Raw genomic sequence first — 18,744 nt, 5'->3', positions numbered from 1 at the left:
TGGACATAAGACACTGATGTTTAGGAATGCCCAATCAAGGAAGAAGATAGAGTAGATAAATCCACTGAACACATGCCAGTCATGACCCAAAAGCATACGCATTTGAATGGGATAATGTGCAGGCTTTCTTCTGGTACAAGCACACCGCTGTATGTTTTAGCTAAGACGCACTTTCCTGTTTTCTTGTGCCAAGGATGTGCCTGGATGTTAAGCACCAGTGAACTCAAGGCAGGTGACTGCTAGATTTGGTTTCTTTGAAGACTGTGAGAACGTGAGAGCAGGATGAGTCTCCAATGGGGAAGAACTGGGGCCACTAAGAAAAAGCCAGACGGATGCCAAGAAAGGGCTGGTCCAGTCACATGCCCACGCAACTCACATGCTGTCAAAACACGTCCTGTAGCGGCTTGTTTCCATCCTTCTGCCCATTTTAATTCTTCATTTTCCAGCACAGAAGACTTCACCCAGATTCCCTGCTGCCATTTTTATTTCCAGCCATTATGGAAACCCTGGAAAATGCAGGGTCTGCGGAAGTGAGGACAGACCCTCACCCCCAGTGGTGCCAACAGAACAGTAATCACAGGAGCTGCGGAGCCATCCCAGAGTAGCCTCCACAATTAATTGCAGGATAGAAATGTGAAATTGCAAGCACTTGAAGCAACAGTGTAGGCTGTGTCTGTACTCAAGGGAAACAGCTGTGAGTAATCACAGGATCTTCCCTCAGCCAGAGCCAACGGTCAGCTGCTTACAATAGTGGGAAGGGCATGCGTGTGTGCTAGAGGCAGCTGGGCAGGCTGCGGGAGCTCTACAAGCCTCAGTTTCCTCACTTACAAAAGGGTAATGATGCTGCTGCTGCTGCTGGTGATGATGATAGCATTTTTCCCAAAAGGTGGTTGGGATGAAATACATAGGAAAGCATCCAGTTGGGGCCTGGTACACGAAAAGTGTTCAATCAGTGTCGGTTTCTCTTCTCACAGGATCTAAGCATTCAAGAAACACCCGGAGCTTCTCTGGTTTGCCCTTCATGTCCCCTTTCTAGGCAGCTGCTACTGCTGTGACTGGCTGGATCTTGTTAGCATTTCCATTTGCAAGATGCCAGGCACATAGAGATCATTGGATAATAAGGGTCCCCTGGCTAGATGGTGCGACCACTTCCTAGCTAAACGGACCCACCAATCCTCTCTGCAAGAACACTGAACGCCCCACTCATTCTTACTTCTCCATCTACAAAAGAGAGGACCCAGTCTTGCTGTGCCTCTCCCCAGGGAAAATTAATGCAACAATGCCTATCACTTTCAGAATTAGCTGATGTTAGTGGATTCATGAAACTTCTACAAAGCCATGGAGATAAAGTGTGCTTTGTCATGAAGAGCAGTTACCCCTCTTATTATGGACTTTTCTCTACCAGTATTTAAAGACAAACTAAAGGAAGTAGTTTCTCATATGTGAGCATCATAAAGCTTGTTGGTTTTGTTTTTTTTTTTTTTTTTTAAGAGCTGGAAACTTGCAGGAAATAGAAGCTGGTGTCTTTAAAGTAGGCATGGAACCCCCAGATCGAGGAGAGTGGTATCCAAGGGGAGGGGAGATGCAGAATGCAAACGGCCCACTCAGCCATTCCCCAACTCCTTGATGTTTATTTATACAATAAGCAACAGCTTTGCCAATACTGTGCCCACAACTACTATTTTTTTGGAGATGGGGTTTTGCTCTGTCACCTAGGCTGGCATGCAGTGGCGCCATCATAGATCCCTGTTACCTCGAACTCCTGGGTTCAAGCGATCCTTCTGCCTCAGCCTCCTGAGTAGCTGGGACTACAAGTGCACACCACCACATCTGGTTATTTTTTCTTTTTGTGTAGACGAGGTCTTGCCCTGTTGCCCAGACTTGTCTCAAACTCCTGGGCTCAAGAGATCCTCCTGCCTCAGCTTCCTGAGTAGCTGGGACTACAGGAATGAGTCACCATGTCCAGCCTACTTCTTACACATATGTACACATACCTACATATGACTCCTTTAGCTGTTTAACTCACATTTTCTTTTCTGCCTGAGCTATTTGGAAAATGGGGGTCATATACAAGCTCTTGGGGACATAGACCACTAGTGGCTCCCAATCCCAGGCAGCCCCTGCCCATCCATGTAAGTGTACAGTTCCCAGAACCTGCCTGTGGCAGTCTGGCCGGCTGTGTCATGGCAAGTCCCATGCAGCCAGTCCCAGGTGGCTCTAAGGAAATGGTCAGTGACTCACCTGTTTAACGGGGGCCAGGGGCCAGGGGCCAGGTGAGTGCTCTTCATGAACCAGGCTTCTGGGCCCAGCCTCAGTGCAGAACCACAAGGAAACACAGCGTTGGGTTGAGGCAGAATAATTGTCTCCTTTGGTCTGCCATCCACAAAAGGAAAGGCGTTGGTGGCCATGGACAGAGGCAGGGGAGGGTCATAGAGTAAGAGGGTGGAGGCAGGGAAGCTTAACTGCTGAGGCGCTCTGATGGCTGCTTCAGCAGGGGCTTCCTTCTAGCCAAGAATGACCTCTACAGAGTACATTTAAATACGATCAACTGAAACAAAGCTTCAGACATAGATATCATTGCCCAAGTTTTTGGGAGTGAAGTTGAAAGAACAGTACAGTGAACACCTATATCACTTTCTAGAGTCACTATTATTCCGCCACAGGTGCTCTTGCCTGCACACACGCTCTCTTCTTGGCCCCAACCCCCGCCTGGTCCTATTTTCAGATTTCTGTCTGTTTTTTTGCTTTTGTTGAACCATTTGGAAGTAGGTTGTAGACATTAGGAAAAAATGACCCCTAAAATATTTCAGCATTCCCCTCCAAAATCACATGACCATTACCACCCAGAAATGTCACACTGGTACAAAAACATTCTCTAAAATACAGTCCAGATTCAACTGTCCCCACTGTCCCCAAAATGTTCTTTACAGCTGTTTTTTTCTTGGATCCAGGATCCAACCAAGTGTTACAGATTGCATTTGGTAATCATGTCTCCTCATTCTCTTTTAATCAAGAATGGTTGGCCAGGCACGGTGGCTCACGCCTGTAATCCCAACACTTTGGGAGGTCAAGGCAGGTGGATCACCTCAAGTCAGGAGTTCGAGATCAGCCTAGCTAACATGGTGGAACCTTGTCTCTACCAAAAAAACAAAAATTAGCCGGGCATGGTGGCACACACCTATAATCCCAACTACTCGAGAGGCTGAGGCAGGAGAATCGCTTGAATCCAGGAGGCGGAGGTTGCAATGAGCCAAGATTGCACCATTGCACTCCAGGCTGGGTGACAGAGTGAGACTGTGTCTCAAAAAAATAAATAAACAAATAAATAAAAAATAAAATAATCAAGGTTAAAACCATTAGGTGGGAGGTTGCTGTTCATCAAGTATGACATCCAGATTCCTTATTAATTACAAACAACAACAACAACAAAAATACCTTTGCAGTTGGAGGGATCTGCTGAGAACGCTGAACCAGGTGGTCAAATGCAGGATCACCAACAGTGGACACTCTGGGTGCCCCTGAGGATAAGCAGCTTCTTGCCAGCACCCTCTCCCTCTCCATCCCAAACCAAAGGAGCAGATACATCTGCTGCATCACCATCTACGTTCCTGATCTGGATCCAAATCCCATAACCAAGATTTATTGAACAGAAATGACTTCCAACTAATGCCTTTTCCTTTAAATAAGGAGCTTGGTGCATCTCCTTGCTGGCAGCCTCCAACAAGTTATTATATTCCACAGCCTGCCTGTCACTGCAAAAGGTACCTGTGCAAAGCTTTTAGGCAAAGGTTGGGCTACCTGCTGCGTCTCCTTACCCAGCAATGATAGAGAAGGTCTCTGCTCACTGTGAATCTCAGGGTGATGTGTAGAGTTCAGGCTAGGAGACTGATGCTCTGTTCTTGTTGAAAACGTAGCTACCTGGAACTTAAAATCTTCCTGTTTTAAAAAGAAATATTTAACTCAGAGCCTGTGCGCATGGCTCCTAAGGATTGTGCAACTGGTAAACTGATGATTGCAGCTCTCATACTTTGAAAATGGAAAGAAACAAACTTCCCTCCAGCTCTCTCCAACTCTCACTTGAACTTCCTGACATCCTGGATGGTGCTGAGCTTCCTGAACACACTCTGCATCTTTGCCTGGAATGCCCTCTTCTTCCTTCCCTGTCCTCCCGGCTCCACTGCACTTCCGATGTGAAGCTGTCACCTGCTGCCTCCCCAGGGCCACTGAGGCTCCCCTTCTCCCAAACTCCCACTGCAGGTACAGCACCCGCCAATTCTTTTTCATGCCTGAATTCTCCCCCAAAGACCACACAGTCTGTGACACGGTCTAGGTCTTAATCATCTTAGCATCCCTGGTGCCAGGAAGAGAGCAGGACACACGCTCAATAATGTATGATCAATGGGTGAAGCAAAAAAAATGAACGATTATCATACAAAGCTGAGGCTCATTTCCTTCATTCTGTAACAAATACACCATGGTAAGGTGGAAGAACACACAGAGGGAATATTATTGTTTTAATTACAATAAGATGAGGGTGAGTCTCCATATCTGCAGGGGTGACAGACATCAAATCGCGCAGGGCCCTAGGTAGGCAGGAGGAGTCTCTGGGCCGTAAGAGCTGGGAGGAAGTCTTCCCCTCCCCGACCAGAGTTCAGTTTAAAACTTCAATCTCCACACCAAATTAACAAACTCAAGTTGTTGAGAAAATTAGACTCTTCTTCAGAATAATCTATCTGTGGGAGAGACGTGCTCCTGAAACAGCTCTAAAGCACCCGATATTTTTTCCATTTACTTACAAGATTAAATTGAAAATTGGTTCCCATGAGGGATTTTTTTTTTACTACTCCTATAAACCGAATTTACAAAACACACTAGAGTGTAGAAAACCTATTACAATCTCCTATCAGAAGAAGAAAAAAAAACCCCGACACCATTCTGATAATATCAGCACCACCGCCCAAAGGCAAAAAATAAAAATACACCACCAAAGCTCGGGGCTTTCCCATAAATACCCCACCAAGCTAGAAAGAAAACTCATCTCTGACTGCAAACGGAGGTTTCCATCCTGAAGCAGAGCTCCTGTCGGGAGTTTCTACGTTACTTTGGGAATTATCTTCAACCTGAGTGATTCTACATAGGTAAGACACAGTTTGAACTAACCTAGCAATTAACACAGCTGCTCAGGGTTCAGGTTTAAGTGCATTTTCTGAGAAATCACTCGCATCTGGACCATAAACTCTGCATGTGATGGCTTATGGTTTATATTTGTGTTCTCATGAAAGCCACCACCAGGCTAATTCCCACAGCCCTCTGACTCTCTCAATCGGAGCTCTCTTCCCTCTCTGTCTCTCAAATACCTACAGTATTCAGTCGGCTGCTTCTCCACAGGGTCCTTCCCTCTCTGTCCCCTTCCCCACCCTCAGTACCTCCCAAGGGTGTGCTATTTCATCACCATGTACTTGGTATTTAATTTTACTTGGATATGGGTTGTTCTTTGTTCTCTTCTTGTGTTACTCTTTTCTCCCCTGGTTTTAAGTCCCATGTTTGGACCTTCCGTGACCTCAAAAAACTTTGTGGGGTGCTGATTGTGGGTTCAGCAAATATTTATGGGTTAATTGTTTGTTCCAAAGGAGACTCTAATTAATAAGAGAGACTTGGAACATTCATAGCCTATGCACTGAAAGCAAGAGTGTGGAAGCCAGGCCCGGGCTGCGGCCCCAACTACATCACTTTCCACCTTGTAACTTGGAGCCATTTCCTTCCTTTCTCTCAGCTCCTTTGCTCATTTCAAGAAGGAGGATAATAATAGTATTTACTTCATGGGATTGGTTGGGGAGTCAATGAAGCAATGAATATAAAATGCTGAGCATAAAGGTCCAGTCCTATGAACAATAAATATAGAGCAAGCACTCAATAAATGGTAGCTATTGGTATGAAAACATTTCTCAAGACAAACCCATGCCTGAACTATTTGGTTGGGAGAAGGTGCAGGCAGATAATGGGCATGGGGGTGCCACCCATCATTGGCAAGCACTGCCCCAAGGGGGCTCTGCTTAGTACCACTTGTGGTCCTTTTATACTGAAATAAGATGAGTCTGATGTCTTCTATTTGGCTCTTTAAAAAAATTCCTAGTAACTAATGCGGGTACCTATTTTTTCTTTCTTTCTTTTTTTTTTTTTTTGAGATGGACTCTCGCTCTGTCGCCCAGGCTGGAACGCAGTGGCACAATCTCGGGCTCATTGCAACCTCCACCTCCTGGGTTCAACCGATTATCCTGCCTCAGCCTCCTCCTGAGTACCTGGGACTACATGCGCATGCCACCATACTTGGCTAATTTTTTGTATTTTTAGTAGAGATGGGGTTTTACCATGTTGGCCAGGCTGGTCTCAAGCTCCTGACCTCAAGCGATCCACCCGCCTCGGCCTCCCAAAGTGCTGGGATTACAGGTGTGAGACACTGCACCTGGCTGTAAGCACTTATTTTTCATAAATTTATCAGGTACTATAGTTATACAAGGGCATTAACATCGGGGGTTGCTGGGTGAAGGGTGTACGAGAACTCTGTACTGTGTGTGCAACTTTTCTGAAAATCTTAAATTACTTTAAATTAAAAATGTTAAAGATGTAATTACTAATTAGTTATTTCCTTGAGCCTGACTTTCCATACTTAACATTGGATTCCCTTCACACACATAACTGTACTTTAAAAATAGATTCCAATTCTTATGGAAACTGTCATCAAAATATCTTCTCTCCGCATGTGCCATTTAAATATTTAGCCATCCAATTTACCATCTGTGTGACTCTGGGTGAGTCACTTCATTTCCTTGTATCTCCGTTTCTTCATCTATAACGTAAGGATAATAAAGTCAACTTCTTCACAGATTTGAATAAAAGTTAGTACATAAAGTACTTAGAAAGCGGTCCTGTGGAGGAAGCACTGAATAGCTGTGAGCTGCTGCTACTATTTGCTGTGGTCTGAATTCATATCTTCAGATTGGATTCCCGGTGTGATAGTATTAAGAGGTAGGGCCTTTGGGAAGTAATCCTTTCGGGATAACCTTCAACCAAACGCAGAGCCTTATAAAAGAGATGACAGGGAGCAAGTTCGCTCCTTGCACCATGTGAGGACACAGCCTGCCCTCCTTCTGCCATGTGAGGACACAGTGAGAAGTGCCATCTATGAAGCAGAGACGGAGCCTTCACCAGACACTGAATCTGCTGGGGCCTCGATCTTGTACTTCCCAGCTTCCAGAATTGTGATACATCAATTCCCATTATTTATAAATAACCCAGTCTAAGGTATTTTGTGATAGCAGCCTGAATGGAATAAGACATTATTATTATTATTATTAATTAAACTTGCTGAATTCACATTCCTAGAGTGGAGCTATAGCTCTACAAAAATTTTTAAACTAATTCTCAAGGGACTTAGCCCAGAGAGTTGGCATAAGCAATACTGGCTGGCTTTCACATGCAAAAAGTCGACATCCAACCCAGTGAAAGGTCTTGTTCCTTAAGCTGACTCTACAATTGTGAGTCAAGTTCAACTTTTGGCAATGGTAGAGGAATTAGCCTGATGTAAGCTCTAGCACGATAAGGCCTGACCTTTGTCTTCCACCTGTGTACCTGTGCCACCCCAGCCAGAGCATCTGTGCTCTCTATGCAGTTTTAGATCTGCAAGGCTCTTGAGGTTTATAGGAGATACTGGAAGGTTCCGGCAGTACCATATGGTTGCTGCTTTTATTACAGAAGACGGCACGGGGCGTGTCCAGCATGCATAGCACATGTTTTGCTTTATCTAGAAACACAAAGAATGCCAGCTAAACATTTCAGGCATTCTTGCCTTACAGCGAGCCATAAGGTAGCCACATGTAAACCCATAATTAAACTGAATATTCACCTGTGATGTCTATTCTACTGCCAACAGCAGTAGCTTTGGAAATAAAGGAAAAGGTAAGAAAAGCATGGACATGTTTAGCCATAGGCATTCTACTTTATGCTCCTTGATCCCTTACCACCTACGGAGACTAGGTTTTATGGTAATTTTCCCCTCGGCTGCAAAATCTGCTCCCCCCATACATGGTTTTGACAATGTGGAAGCCTTAGTAGGAAAGAGAAACAAGAGCAAAGCTGTGATGTTGCAGAGGGGTCTCATGGCCCCCGAGGAACACCATCTTCCTCTGGGCAGAGAGCATCAGTGCCCAGTCAGAGGGGCCCTGGCTGTCAGATAAGGGCAGGGATTCCAAGGACAGCATCAGCCCATTAAAAAGAAATGCAGGTGACAATCACAGCCCCAAAGGCAATGGCACAATAGGGATGGTCTTGAGAAAATAAAAGAATTTCTCTAAAAACTACAAAAAGTCAGAAGGGATTCTGTATCTATGATAGGGATTTCATTCCCAGTTCCATTTTGACCATCAGCTATAGCTGGTTTCAAGGTTATCCAGAGGCAAACTGTTACCCTCTCCCAGTGATACCTTGGAATCCTTTGTTCTTCTCTGAGTTCTTACCTGAGGGGACAGCCCTGGTTAGAACATTTGCTTATCTTTCAAAGGAAAAACCTGAGGATGTTTCCAAAGGTAAGCTTTTCTTTGGAAGTCCCCACCTTCCCCTTTTTTTCTTAAAACAGATCCTCCTAAACCCTTCTTCTATGATGTTTTCTGTTATCTAAACCTAATAGATTAGCATCAGTCTTTCCATGTTTATGATAGCTTCAAATTCCTAGATACAGAAGGAAGATACCTTTGCTGATCAAATGAAAATGAATGCCCTTGTCAACAAGGGTAATGTATACAGTTGGTCCCTCAGGGACCCCAAGTGCAAGGAAATAGGCTGATGCCTGAGAGCTGAACCATACACCAACATGGAGTGGGTCATGGTACCGAGAACTCAAGCCATCTTGAGGACACGGGATGGGTCCTAGGCCAATAAGACTCCAGGATAACTTGACTGAGTGTGCCGATGAACCGAAAGTGGATTTGGTGGGAAAACCACAGGAAAAAGCCATGTTGTGGCAGAGCCCACCCAGAAACAGCCCCGAGGAGGGAGTAACCAGGCCCCTGGATAGGGAATTCCGGTCCCATAGCCAGGCTGTTTGTAGGAGGTGTGGTAATTATAAGCACAGTATCTGGAGTCAAATGCCTCCATTCCTATCCCAGCTCCTCACTAACTGTAACACTGCAAGTTATTGATCTCTCTGTGCCTCAGTTTCCTTTTCTGGAAAACGAGGCTAATAACCAGCTAGGTGTCAGGTCTAAATAACTAATCTATGTGAAGTTCCTAGCACCATACCTAACACAGAGGAAGCAAAAGCACTCAACGGCTGTTGCTATCGCTGAGGTGGATTTATTGGGCCATCACAGGCCAATGCCACAAAACACCTGGGTCATCCATCCATTCGCCTCCCCTTGTTCTAGTTCCATTCCCTCCAACAGCATTTTGATTAATTGGCTCCCCTGACCCCCTGTCACCGGGAGGAGAGTACACGGGCCATGCTGTCAGAATAGCCCAATCCACACAGTGCTTGTGACTTTGTGTGACATTGAGTATTTGGGAATTTGGGTGTACAGACCCATCTCCTGGGAGGTGTATTAACCCGAGGGCTCAGAGGGCTGGAGGGCTCTGAGACAGTGATGGCTCCACCAGGGCGACTGCCTCTCCAGAGGCCTCAGGGCATCCAGCCCAGCCCCCACCCTGCCTTAATATCAGTGTAACCTTCATCCAAATGCCTGCCCACGATGCTGCTCCGGGATGAGCAAGCCTTACCTGTGACATGGAGCTTTTCATCAGCAACCTCAGCCTTTAGGTAAATCCGCCCCCTCTTCTCAGTGTGATCCATTCCGCAGAGGCTGGGGACATTGATGACGCATTGCTTGTGAACGTTCATATCGCAGGCTGTGAATCAAGAAAGGAGAGGGTGAGCTGGGCATATGGACTCCAACCACCGCTCCTCAGTGTTTTGGTGCATGAGCACAAGTGAAAATGAGTTACCCCCAACTCGATACTTTGCTATAATGTTTTTGGTGACATAAAGAACTGTTAGCAGATGTCCTGTACAGCACAGGCTTCATGTGAGTGACAATATCCTTAAAATACTCATACCATATTTGCTCAGTCTTCACTGAAGCAAAATATCCCAGCTTGGGCTTCTGTGATTGTTTCAAGTATTTAACAGTATACAAAATTCACACAGGTAAATATGTACAAAGCTCAGCCTAATTCATATTTTATGTACACAGAGGCAAAATAATATGAAAATGTTAAACAGAGGATTTTTTTTTTTTTCTTCAGACAGGGTCTCCTTTTGTCTCTCAGGCTAGAGTGCAGTGGCATAATCCTAGCTCACTGCAGCCTTGAACTCCTGGGCTCAAGTGGTCCTCCCACCTAGGCCTCCTAAAGTACTGGGACTATGGATGTGAACCACTGCACCCAGCTTGAACATAAGACTTTTTGCTAATGAATTCTTTATGTCATTCTGGGCTTACCACTGAGAAAGAGTGAAAATCTGTGGATTGAGTATAGAAAATTCATTAAATTTTCCTTTCCTCAGCTAACCTTGTATTTTCAACAAGGTTTAAGTACATTGCCTGTGTTTTTCTCCCCAAAGAACCTGTATTTGATATTTTAAACCTATCTTCAAATATTTAAATACCATTCCAAGTAAAACAAATACCCGCCTAGCATGATCAGCCATTCCTTACAGCTGACATTATGTGGGTGAGACAGGGGGAGGATAAAAAAAGATCAGTATTATTGCAATGAACCAAAGAAACCCTGAAAAGAATCCTGTGTGCCGGAAACAAACAGAAGACTGTGTGTGGGTGTTCCAGCTCGATCACCCTTGTACCTTTAGGCTTCCAGAAGGAGGGAAGGCCACTGGAATCCTTGCAAATCCTTGCCAGGATGCTAATAAGGTTATTCTGTAATCATCAAGGTGGAGTCTTCCTTTCCGTTTCATTTTGAGTGTTTAATTTTAACATGACAAAGTAAATTGGAAAAAGCATCATGAATAATGTATACTGCTCCGATTAAACACTGACAGCAGAATGATGGACATACTGAGGAAAGAACAATTAGCTAATTCACAAATGTGGATGCTATTAGGCTTCTATTTCCAAGGCTAACTGTTCAAAATTCTACACCTCGAATTTAGCCAATATAAAGGCTCTTGAAAAGCTGTGTTATGTATATTGCTTGTGTTAACCACATCATGTCTTTAAGTGTCCGGGCAAAATTTGCAATGTGAAGGCAGTAAATGCCAGAGCCTCTGGAAAGCACAGAGGCAACGGGGAGGGGACGGGAGGTGAAAGTGCACTGGGCCGTGTTGCAGTCTCTGCTGTATATCTTGGGAAGCTGATTTGCTCTAATTTCATTTCCAACTCTACAAAGTGAGAGGTTGGCCCACTCAAGTTGTTGTTGCTAACTGCCCCCTGACGTCCTGCCCCATCCCAAGTGGAACTCTATCTAGGATTGCAATTGCACCAGGTGGAAGGGCACAGGAAGAGGCTTCTTCTCTGCAGAAGTTAAGGTCAGTAGGGGTTGCAGTCCTGGTGCTCATCGGCTTGCTCTCCTCCTGTCTCCAGAAAGGAGCACAGGCGGCAGCCACAGAAGCCTTATGATTCCCAAGAAAAAGAGTTTAAAACAAAACCAAACAAAAAAGCATTGGTCCAGGTCAGCGGTTTTCAAAAATTTTTAGTAAGGAAACCATTTTGCAAACAAAGTCTAAAGCAGAATCTAATGATGTAAACCATATGAGTGTTATTTTATTAGCATAAACTCAGCTAACAAACACAAATTTATACCACTTATTTATTATAAAGACATTCAAGGATCACCAATAAAGCCCTCTGATACAAACACAACTTTGAAACCAGTTGATGTCTCAGACCAGCCTCCACATCTCATTTATTTTTGCATTATGTTAAAGTAGTACAGCATCCAAAAATCCTCATTCATGCAGAAAACTGAGTACAAACAGGAACCGTGTCTAACGGCATGCTTCCCCATCCCAGCTGACTCTTCAGTGAAGAGGATGCTGTAGGAGAAACCTGATTGCAAGTTCTGCCCAAGGAGTGAAGGTTGAGTATGTAACACATTCAAATATTTATTTTGTTCCCAGTTTTAAAGTAGTTAAAATATATTTACATATGCACTTAAGTTGTAAGCCCTTGCAGAACCCCTGAAAACCATGTCTTTGGAATCCTAGGGTTTCTTTTTTTTATTTTTCTAGTTTTTTGAGACCGAGTTTCACTCTTGTTTGCCCAGGCTGGAGTGCAATGGCACAATCTTGGCTCACAGCAACCGCCGCCTCCTGGGTTCAAGCAATTCTCCTGCCTCAGCCTCCTGAGTAGCTGGGATTACAGGAGACCACCACCACCAGACTAATTTTGCATTTTTAGTAGAGACGGGGTTTCGCTATGTTGGTCAGGCTGGTCTTGAACTCCTAACCTCAGGTGATCCTCCCGCCTCGGCCTCCCAAAGTGCTGGGATTAAATGGTGGAAATCCCAGCGTTTCTTGAAGTAAACAAACATTGCATTTGGTTGTGATGCCGTACAACTCTGTAAGGTGAAGAATCCCTGTGTCCTGAGAAACTCCATCTACTCTATGATGCTCGTTTATGTTTCTTTTTCTACAGTTTGCTCCATGTAAGATACAAATATCAGCTTCTGGCCATCATAGCAAATGAAAATAGTCATTAGCAAATGGCAATAGGCTGATATTTCCACAGTGGTTCCCGATCTATTAGAAAAACAGGCTCGGCAATTAACTTTTCATGTCCTAAAGGTATCAGCTTGTATTTAAACAAACATAGCCTGAGGAATCTCATACTTTAAGAACGATCAAAGCAGGTTGGGCGCGGTGACTCACCCCTATAATCCCAGCATTTTGGGAGGCCGAGGCGGGCGGATCACGAGGTCAGGAGATCGAGACTATCCTGGCTAACACAGTGAAACCCCATCTCTACTAAAAATACAAAAAATTAGCTGGGTGTGGTGGTGGGGGCCTGTAGTCCCAGCTACTCGGGAGGCTGAGGCAAGAGAATGGTGTGAACTCGGGAGGTGGAGCTTGCAGTGAGCCGACATCGCGCCACTGCACTCTAGCCTGGGTGACAGAGTGAGACTCCGTCTCCAAAAAAAAAAAATGATCAAAGCAAAGAGTCTTCATAGTTGCTTTTCTTTCCTCCTGGTAGTTGATGGAGATACACACGTAACAAAAAATAACAGAAAAGGGCTGGTGTCTTGCTTGTCAGTGGTCCTCAGCGTTTTGAGCCAGGCTAATACACATTTGATCCGTCCATAAACATGCTGGGTCAGTGAACTTCAATAAGATGCTATTCTGGTTTTTATGTTCATTTTGGTTTCAGTTTTAAGAAGAGCCTACTGGATTTTTCCACAGTCCACCCACTAATTAGAGACACAGGAAGATAATGAGTAGGGTTTCTTGGCTTATTTTGAAGCTATAACCAAATGTGGACCTGGCGGTGGAAGTCTTCTTTGGGGTTTGACTAGGCTATATTTTACAGTGATTGAAGACTTCTGCCACTAAAAAAAAAAAAAAAGTGACAGCACCCACCAACCTCATTTATAAATCGAGTGCTTTTTGGGGGTTCATAATGAGGCAATCAAGTAGTTCAATAACCTGGAACTTTGACAGTGGAAGAATCTACACTTTGTCAGTCTGGTAGATATCTGAACTAATTCCCTCTACTGAAGAGTTGGTGTTGAAAAGTTACTGAGCCTTCCTTGCTCAGCAAACCCTGAGCATGAGCTACAGAGCCTCGCTATGAACTGGAAAAGAAAACTTACTTACTGTCACATTTCATCCCTTGATGGATAAGTCCATAGAGCAGTGACCCACAGTGATCGCAGAAGGTGGGGCTTCCGTAAGTGTGGATTTTGAACTTGTGCTTGCTCCTGGGGTCCTGGGAGGAGAAGAAGCACAATGCTCATTTTAGTCATGAAAGGACCACGTTTTTAGATTAAGCCAAGCTCAGGCCCCACCACTCCCCAGCCCCAAGTCAAGGTTCGATAACACCAGACTGTGCATCATTCTCTGGAGTCACACAATGGGTGGTGGTGACTTCGCCACTAAATATTTTAGATATTTACTGTTGTTTTTTGAGACAGAGTCTTGCTCGTCGCCCAGGCTGGAGTGCAGTGGCGCGATCTCAGCTCACTGCAACCTCCGCCTCCTGGGTTCAAACGATTGTCCTGCCTCAGCCTCCTGAGTAACTGGGATTACAGGCATCCACCACGATGTGGGTATTTTTGTATTTTTAGTAGAGATGGGGTTTCACCATGTTGGCCAGGCTGGTCTCGAACTCCTGACCTCAGGTGATGCACCAGCCTTGGCCTCCCAAAGTGCTGGGATTACAGGCGTGAACCACCACACCTGGCCCGCATCATGTTTTAATATAATGAATACCTATGTTTCCTCTATTTATGGGGTGAAATTTGCACATACCACGGTTTCCACCAAAGCTATTACTTCTGGAGCTATGGTCACCAAAGCCCTTGGGGACAAGCACAGTGTTTTAAACAACTTGGCTTCTCTGTCTCCCCACTGCCTAGCGCAGGCTGGGGCACGAGTAGACACAAAATCGGTGTGTTTGTGAAGTGAACGGAACAACCCTAAATGGATCATTCAGGAGATCTCCTCTTGGACAGAGTATCCAGAAATACAATACACTGCGAAACCAGATCTACATCCAAACTGACAGGTACATTTTCCTGCTTCTGCACCATCTCCAAAGTATTTTATGCTTTTTATAGGGAAACTCAGCATGGTCAGATGAAAATCGTAAAGGCACTGAAATTACGCCTCCCCATAGCCCACTGCAATTTCATTACCTTCTCTAGCATACCACATAGAGCACCAAAGGTGCAACCAGACATCTTTTTTCTTTAGATTTTTAAGCTTTTGTCCCTCAACTCACAGATTATGGATAGGGAAGAAAAATGATATACAGAAGACCATCGTGGTTAAAGAGCGTAGATTCTGGAGTCACTGCCTGGGTTCAGGTTCCAGCTCTGCTACTACCCAGAGGCATGGCCTTGGACGAATTACTTATCCTTTCTGCCTCATCTATAAGCTGGGAAATTAACAGCATCTGTCTTCTGTGGTTACTATAAATAAGGACAAAACGAGTCAGTCTTTGTAAAATGCTTAGAAGAGTGCCGTATCACAGGGTAGGTAGGTACCACGCAGGTAGTGCAGATAAGCGCCTCTGCTTCTGGGGCCTCTGCTTATTTATTTATTCAATTTTATTATTATTATTTTTTGAGACAGAGTCTCACTCTGTCACCCAAGCTGGAGTGCAGTGGCACGAGCTCGGCTCACTGCAACCTCTGCCTCCCAGGTTCAAGCGATTCTCCTGTCTCAGCCTCCCAAGTAGCTGGGATTACAAGTGCCTGCCACCACACCTAATTTTTTTTAATTTTTAGTAGAGATGGGGTTTCACCATGTTATTCAGGCTGGTCTCAAACTCCTGACATCAGGTGATCTACTTGCTTCGGCCTCCCAAAGTGCTGGGATTACAGGCATGCGCCACCGCGCCCAGCCTCCTCTGTTTATTAATATATAAAGGTAGGCCAGGCACAGTGGCACACACCTGTAATCTCAGCACTTTGGGAGGCTGAGGCAGTCAGATCACCTGAGATCAGGAGTTTGAGACCAGCCTGGCCAACATGGTGATACCCTGTCTCTATTAAAAATACAAAAATTACCCAGGCATGGTGGCGTGTGCCTGTAATCCCAGCTACTTGAGAGGCTGAGGCAGGAGAATCGCTTGAGTCCAGGAGGTGGAGGTTGCAGTGAGCTGAGATTATGCCACTGCACGCCAGCCTGGGCGACAGAGCGAGCCTCCATCTCAAAAAATAAATAAATAAATAATAGTAGAGCTCTGAGCTTCTACTTAGATGATCTATTTGTCTCCCATCCAAGTACTAACCGGACCCGACCCTGCTTAGCTTTCCATCAGGCATGTTCAGGGTGGTATGGCCATAGACTCTACTGTTCTATTGGAACTATAAAACAATTTCATATTCAACATGTACCTATCAGGACTCATTCCTATTAAGTTCTTCCTCTTGAATCACTCCTTGTGGCCTGAGCAGCTGCAAAGGCAGAGTGGCCATCCACTGAATTAAGCAAGACTTTAGAAGATCAGGGTTTGGGGAAGGGCAGGAGATCCAGAGATCTACTGTAGACATAATAAGCTTGAATTAACCTTTCTCTCAGGGTTTCTCCAATGCAAAGTGACATAAAGCAGAATATTCTTGGCTGCTGACTTTCTGAGGGCCTTGGTGCTGGTGATTTCGGGGAATTCCAAAGGTGATTCTGACTGTAAGATAATTCATCTTTTGGTTGACTATGGAACCTAAACCCTAAGCCACATATATGCCAAAGGCTTGTTATGACTTTTTTTTTTTTAGACAGTCTTGCTCTGTTGCCCAGGCTAGAGTGCAGTGGCACGATCTCTGCTCACTGCAAGCTCTGCCTCCCAGGTTCATGCCATTCTCCTGCCTCAGCCCCCCGAGTAGCTGGGACTACAGGCACCCACTACCACGCCTGGCTAATTTTTGGTATTTTTAGTGGAGACGGGGTTTCACTTTGTTAGCCAGGATGGTCTTGATCTCCTGACCTCGTGATCCACCTGCCTTGGCCTCCCAAAGCATTTGGCCTATGACTACTTTTTAAAGACACAGATTTGAGAATTCTGAAATAGTTCAATCATACAGAGAAGTATAAAGAATAGTAAACCCCTCGTGTCTGCACCACCCAGAACTTATAAAAATGAGCATTTTCCCCTAGTTTTTACTGCCTAATTATCCTCGTTTTACAGAGATGTTAATGACCTTCCCCAAATCACATGGTTGATGAACATCAGACCTCAGATTTTTTTTTATATGAAACAGTTCACATATTTGCACGTGATCCTTGCACAGGAACAACGCTCATCTCTGTTTCACTCCAAGTTTTGTATTTGTGCTGCTTCAGAGAGCACAGACCTACGATGTGACCAACGTTGGATTCCCATCACAAGAGCTTTTGGAGATCTACCCAGAATGAGGATCTGGCTCTCAATATATTTACAACGCATTTTTATATTTGCAACATATATATATATATATACACACACACACACACACATATATATATATATATTTTAGAAACAAGTCCACCACCTATTTTTGTAAATAAAATTTTATTGGAAAACAGACATGCTCCTTTATTTACATATTTTCTTTGGCTATAATGGCAGAGTTGAGTAATTATGACAGAGACTGTGTGGGCCACAAAATCTAAAATATTTACTATTTGGGTCCTTTTAGGAAAAGTTTGCCAAGCCCTGCTTTAGGACAAGGGTTTTCAGAGCATGGTTCCCGCACAGCATCACATCACTTGGAACTTGTTAGAAAGGCATAGTACTTAGTCCTTTCCCAGACCAACCGAGTCAGAAACTCTGGGGGTGGGGCCTCACAGTCTGTGTTTGAGCAGATCCTGCCAGTGATCCTTGTGTTGGCGGACACACTAAAGACTGGAAAACCACTGCTCTAGGAGGTCATTCAACAAATATTTAGTAAGTGTGTCACTGGTGCGAGGTGAGTACCTAGCACCTCTATGTGTAGATGATTAATGATATCCTCGAGGCAGGTCAGTGGTTTACCTCCTAAATGTTTCTCTCAGGGTGTGAGACATCAACATCTTCCTTGACAGGTTATTTCTTCTAGAAAGCAGTAGTTGGGTCCACGGTCTGAAGTATGGCCTTAGACTTCCACCATTAGGGAAGCCCACCACTTTTGCCAGGATCCCAGGACATCAGGAAGAATGTTCAGGGAGTAGGTTGGTGCCAGCACCAATTAAAAATACCTGTGTTGACAGGAAAGGTTGCGTCCTACAGTGCGGAGGGCGCAGAATATGCCAGGGGAAATGAAGGAACCAGTTTTCCCTGCAGAAACGAGGCATCAACAAATGGCACTAAATTAATAAAGAATGGCAGCTCGCACGGAGCCCTCAGGAGTATGTGCATGCCAGGCAGCCCCAGGGTGGTTGTCATACCAGTTGGTTGTCACATAGATCTCCATTGATGTGGCACACAGGCAACTCACTTTTCAGGAAAACCTAAGGCTTACTCACGCAACAGCCATATGGCACCTTCAGGTTCTCACCGTTTGGAGGTGTAGGAAGAGAGGAAACCATCGCTTCCACCTCCTGCCTAAGTCTGGAGAACCAGCAAGTCTTGGAGTTGTCACACCCCAAAATTACATGTGGCCAAAGATCCTGCCTATGAATTACAACGACAGTAATAATAATAGCACCAGCTGTTTGTTGATCAGCAATTGTGCACAGGTGCTTCACAATAACCAGGATCTTTGTTTAGAACAAGAGAGTCTCCTATGAGAAGAGCACTTAGCAGGACTGTGGAGACCTGTGTTCTGACCCCAGTCCCGGCACAAGCTCTTACCTTGGAAAAGTCACGTCATTTATTTATAAAGCAGAAATAAAACCAATCTGCCCGTGTCATGGGCAAGGGGTGACACCCAGCTTAGGGAATATAAGAGAAAGACTTTGCAACCTGAAAATCCTTAGACAAATATAAGCAATTATTATTACATTATCCTTAGGAGCAAACTTCAAGGTGCCCAGGGTTTCCCCAAAATACTTTAGTGACTTGGGCCTGGATGGGGAGGAAACAGGACTCCCTATCCTCTGGGCTAATCACCCTCAGGCTTCATAGG

General features: G+C 44.8%; 1 protein-coding gene and 2 pseudogenes across 11 annotated transcripts in view, besides 2 other annotated features; all 3 read right to left on the bottom strand.

The window, feature by feature from the left end:
• PRKCA (protein kinase C alpha) overlaps positions 1-18,744 on the bottom strand; it is a 508,131-nt gene that overhangs the window by 155,464 nt on the left and 333,923 nt on the right. For all 11 annotated transcript variants that reach the window (XR_007065315.1, XR_007065317.1, XR_007065316.1 and 8 more), the window contains 2 exons: positions 13,814-13,925; positions 9,769-9,897 (listed from right to left, as the gene is read on the bottom strand). Coding sequence is in view for 7 of the 11 variants with exons in the window: in NM_002737.3 (NP_002728.2) it covers positions 9,769-9,897; positions 13,814-13,925 (241 nt within the window). In the remaining 4 variants the exon portion in view is untranslated. The remainder of the gene's footprint in view (positions 1-9,768; positions 9,898-13,813; positions 13,926-18,744) is intronic.
• Positions 595-889: a silencer, noted in NCBI's record as "tiled region #6976; K562 Repressive non-DNase unmatched - State 23:Low". NCBI's record gives its function as "represses a minimal TATA promoter and a strong SV40 promoter by Sharpr-MPRA in K562 cells {active_cell/tissue: K562}" and the evidence as "EXISTENCE:reporter gene assay evidence [ECO:0000049][PMID:27701403]".
• Positions 9,234-10,433: an enhancer, noted in NCBI's record as "P300/CBP strongly-dependent group 1 enhancer chr17:64640965-64642164 (GRCh37/hg19 assembly coordinates)". NCBI's record gives its function as "activates an origin of replication core promoter dependent on BRD2, BRD4, P300/CBP, MED14 and CDK7 cofactors, with strong dependence on P300/CBP, by STARR-seq in HCT116 cells {active_cell/tissue: HCT116}" and the evidence as "EXISTENCE:reporter gene assay evidence [ECO:0000049][PMID:35650434]".
• On the bottom strand, positions 15,897-16,011 carry RNA5SP445 (RNA, 5S ribosomal pseudogene 445; annotated as a pseudogene).
• RNU6-928P (RNA, U6 small nuclear 928, pseudogene) lies at positions 16,906-17,009 on the bottom strand (annotated as a pseudogene).

The sequence above is a fragment of the Homo sapiens genome, chromosome 17, assembly GCF_000001405.40.
Source record: "Homo sapiens chromosome 17, GRCh38.p14 Primary Assembly".
Classification (NCBI taxonomy): Eukaryota; Metazoa; Chordata; class Mammalia; order Primates; family Hominidae; genus Homo; species Homo sapiens.
Note: the sequence above shows the minus strand (reverse complement) of the source record. Positions and strands in the feature narration are given on the sequence as shown.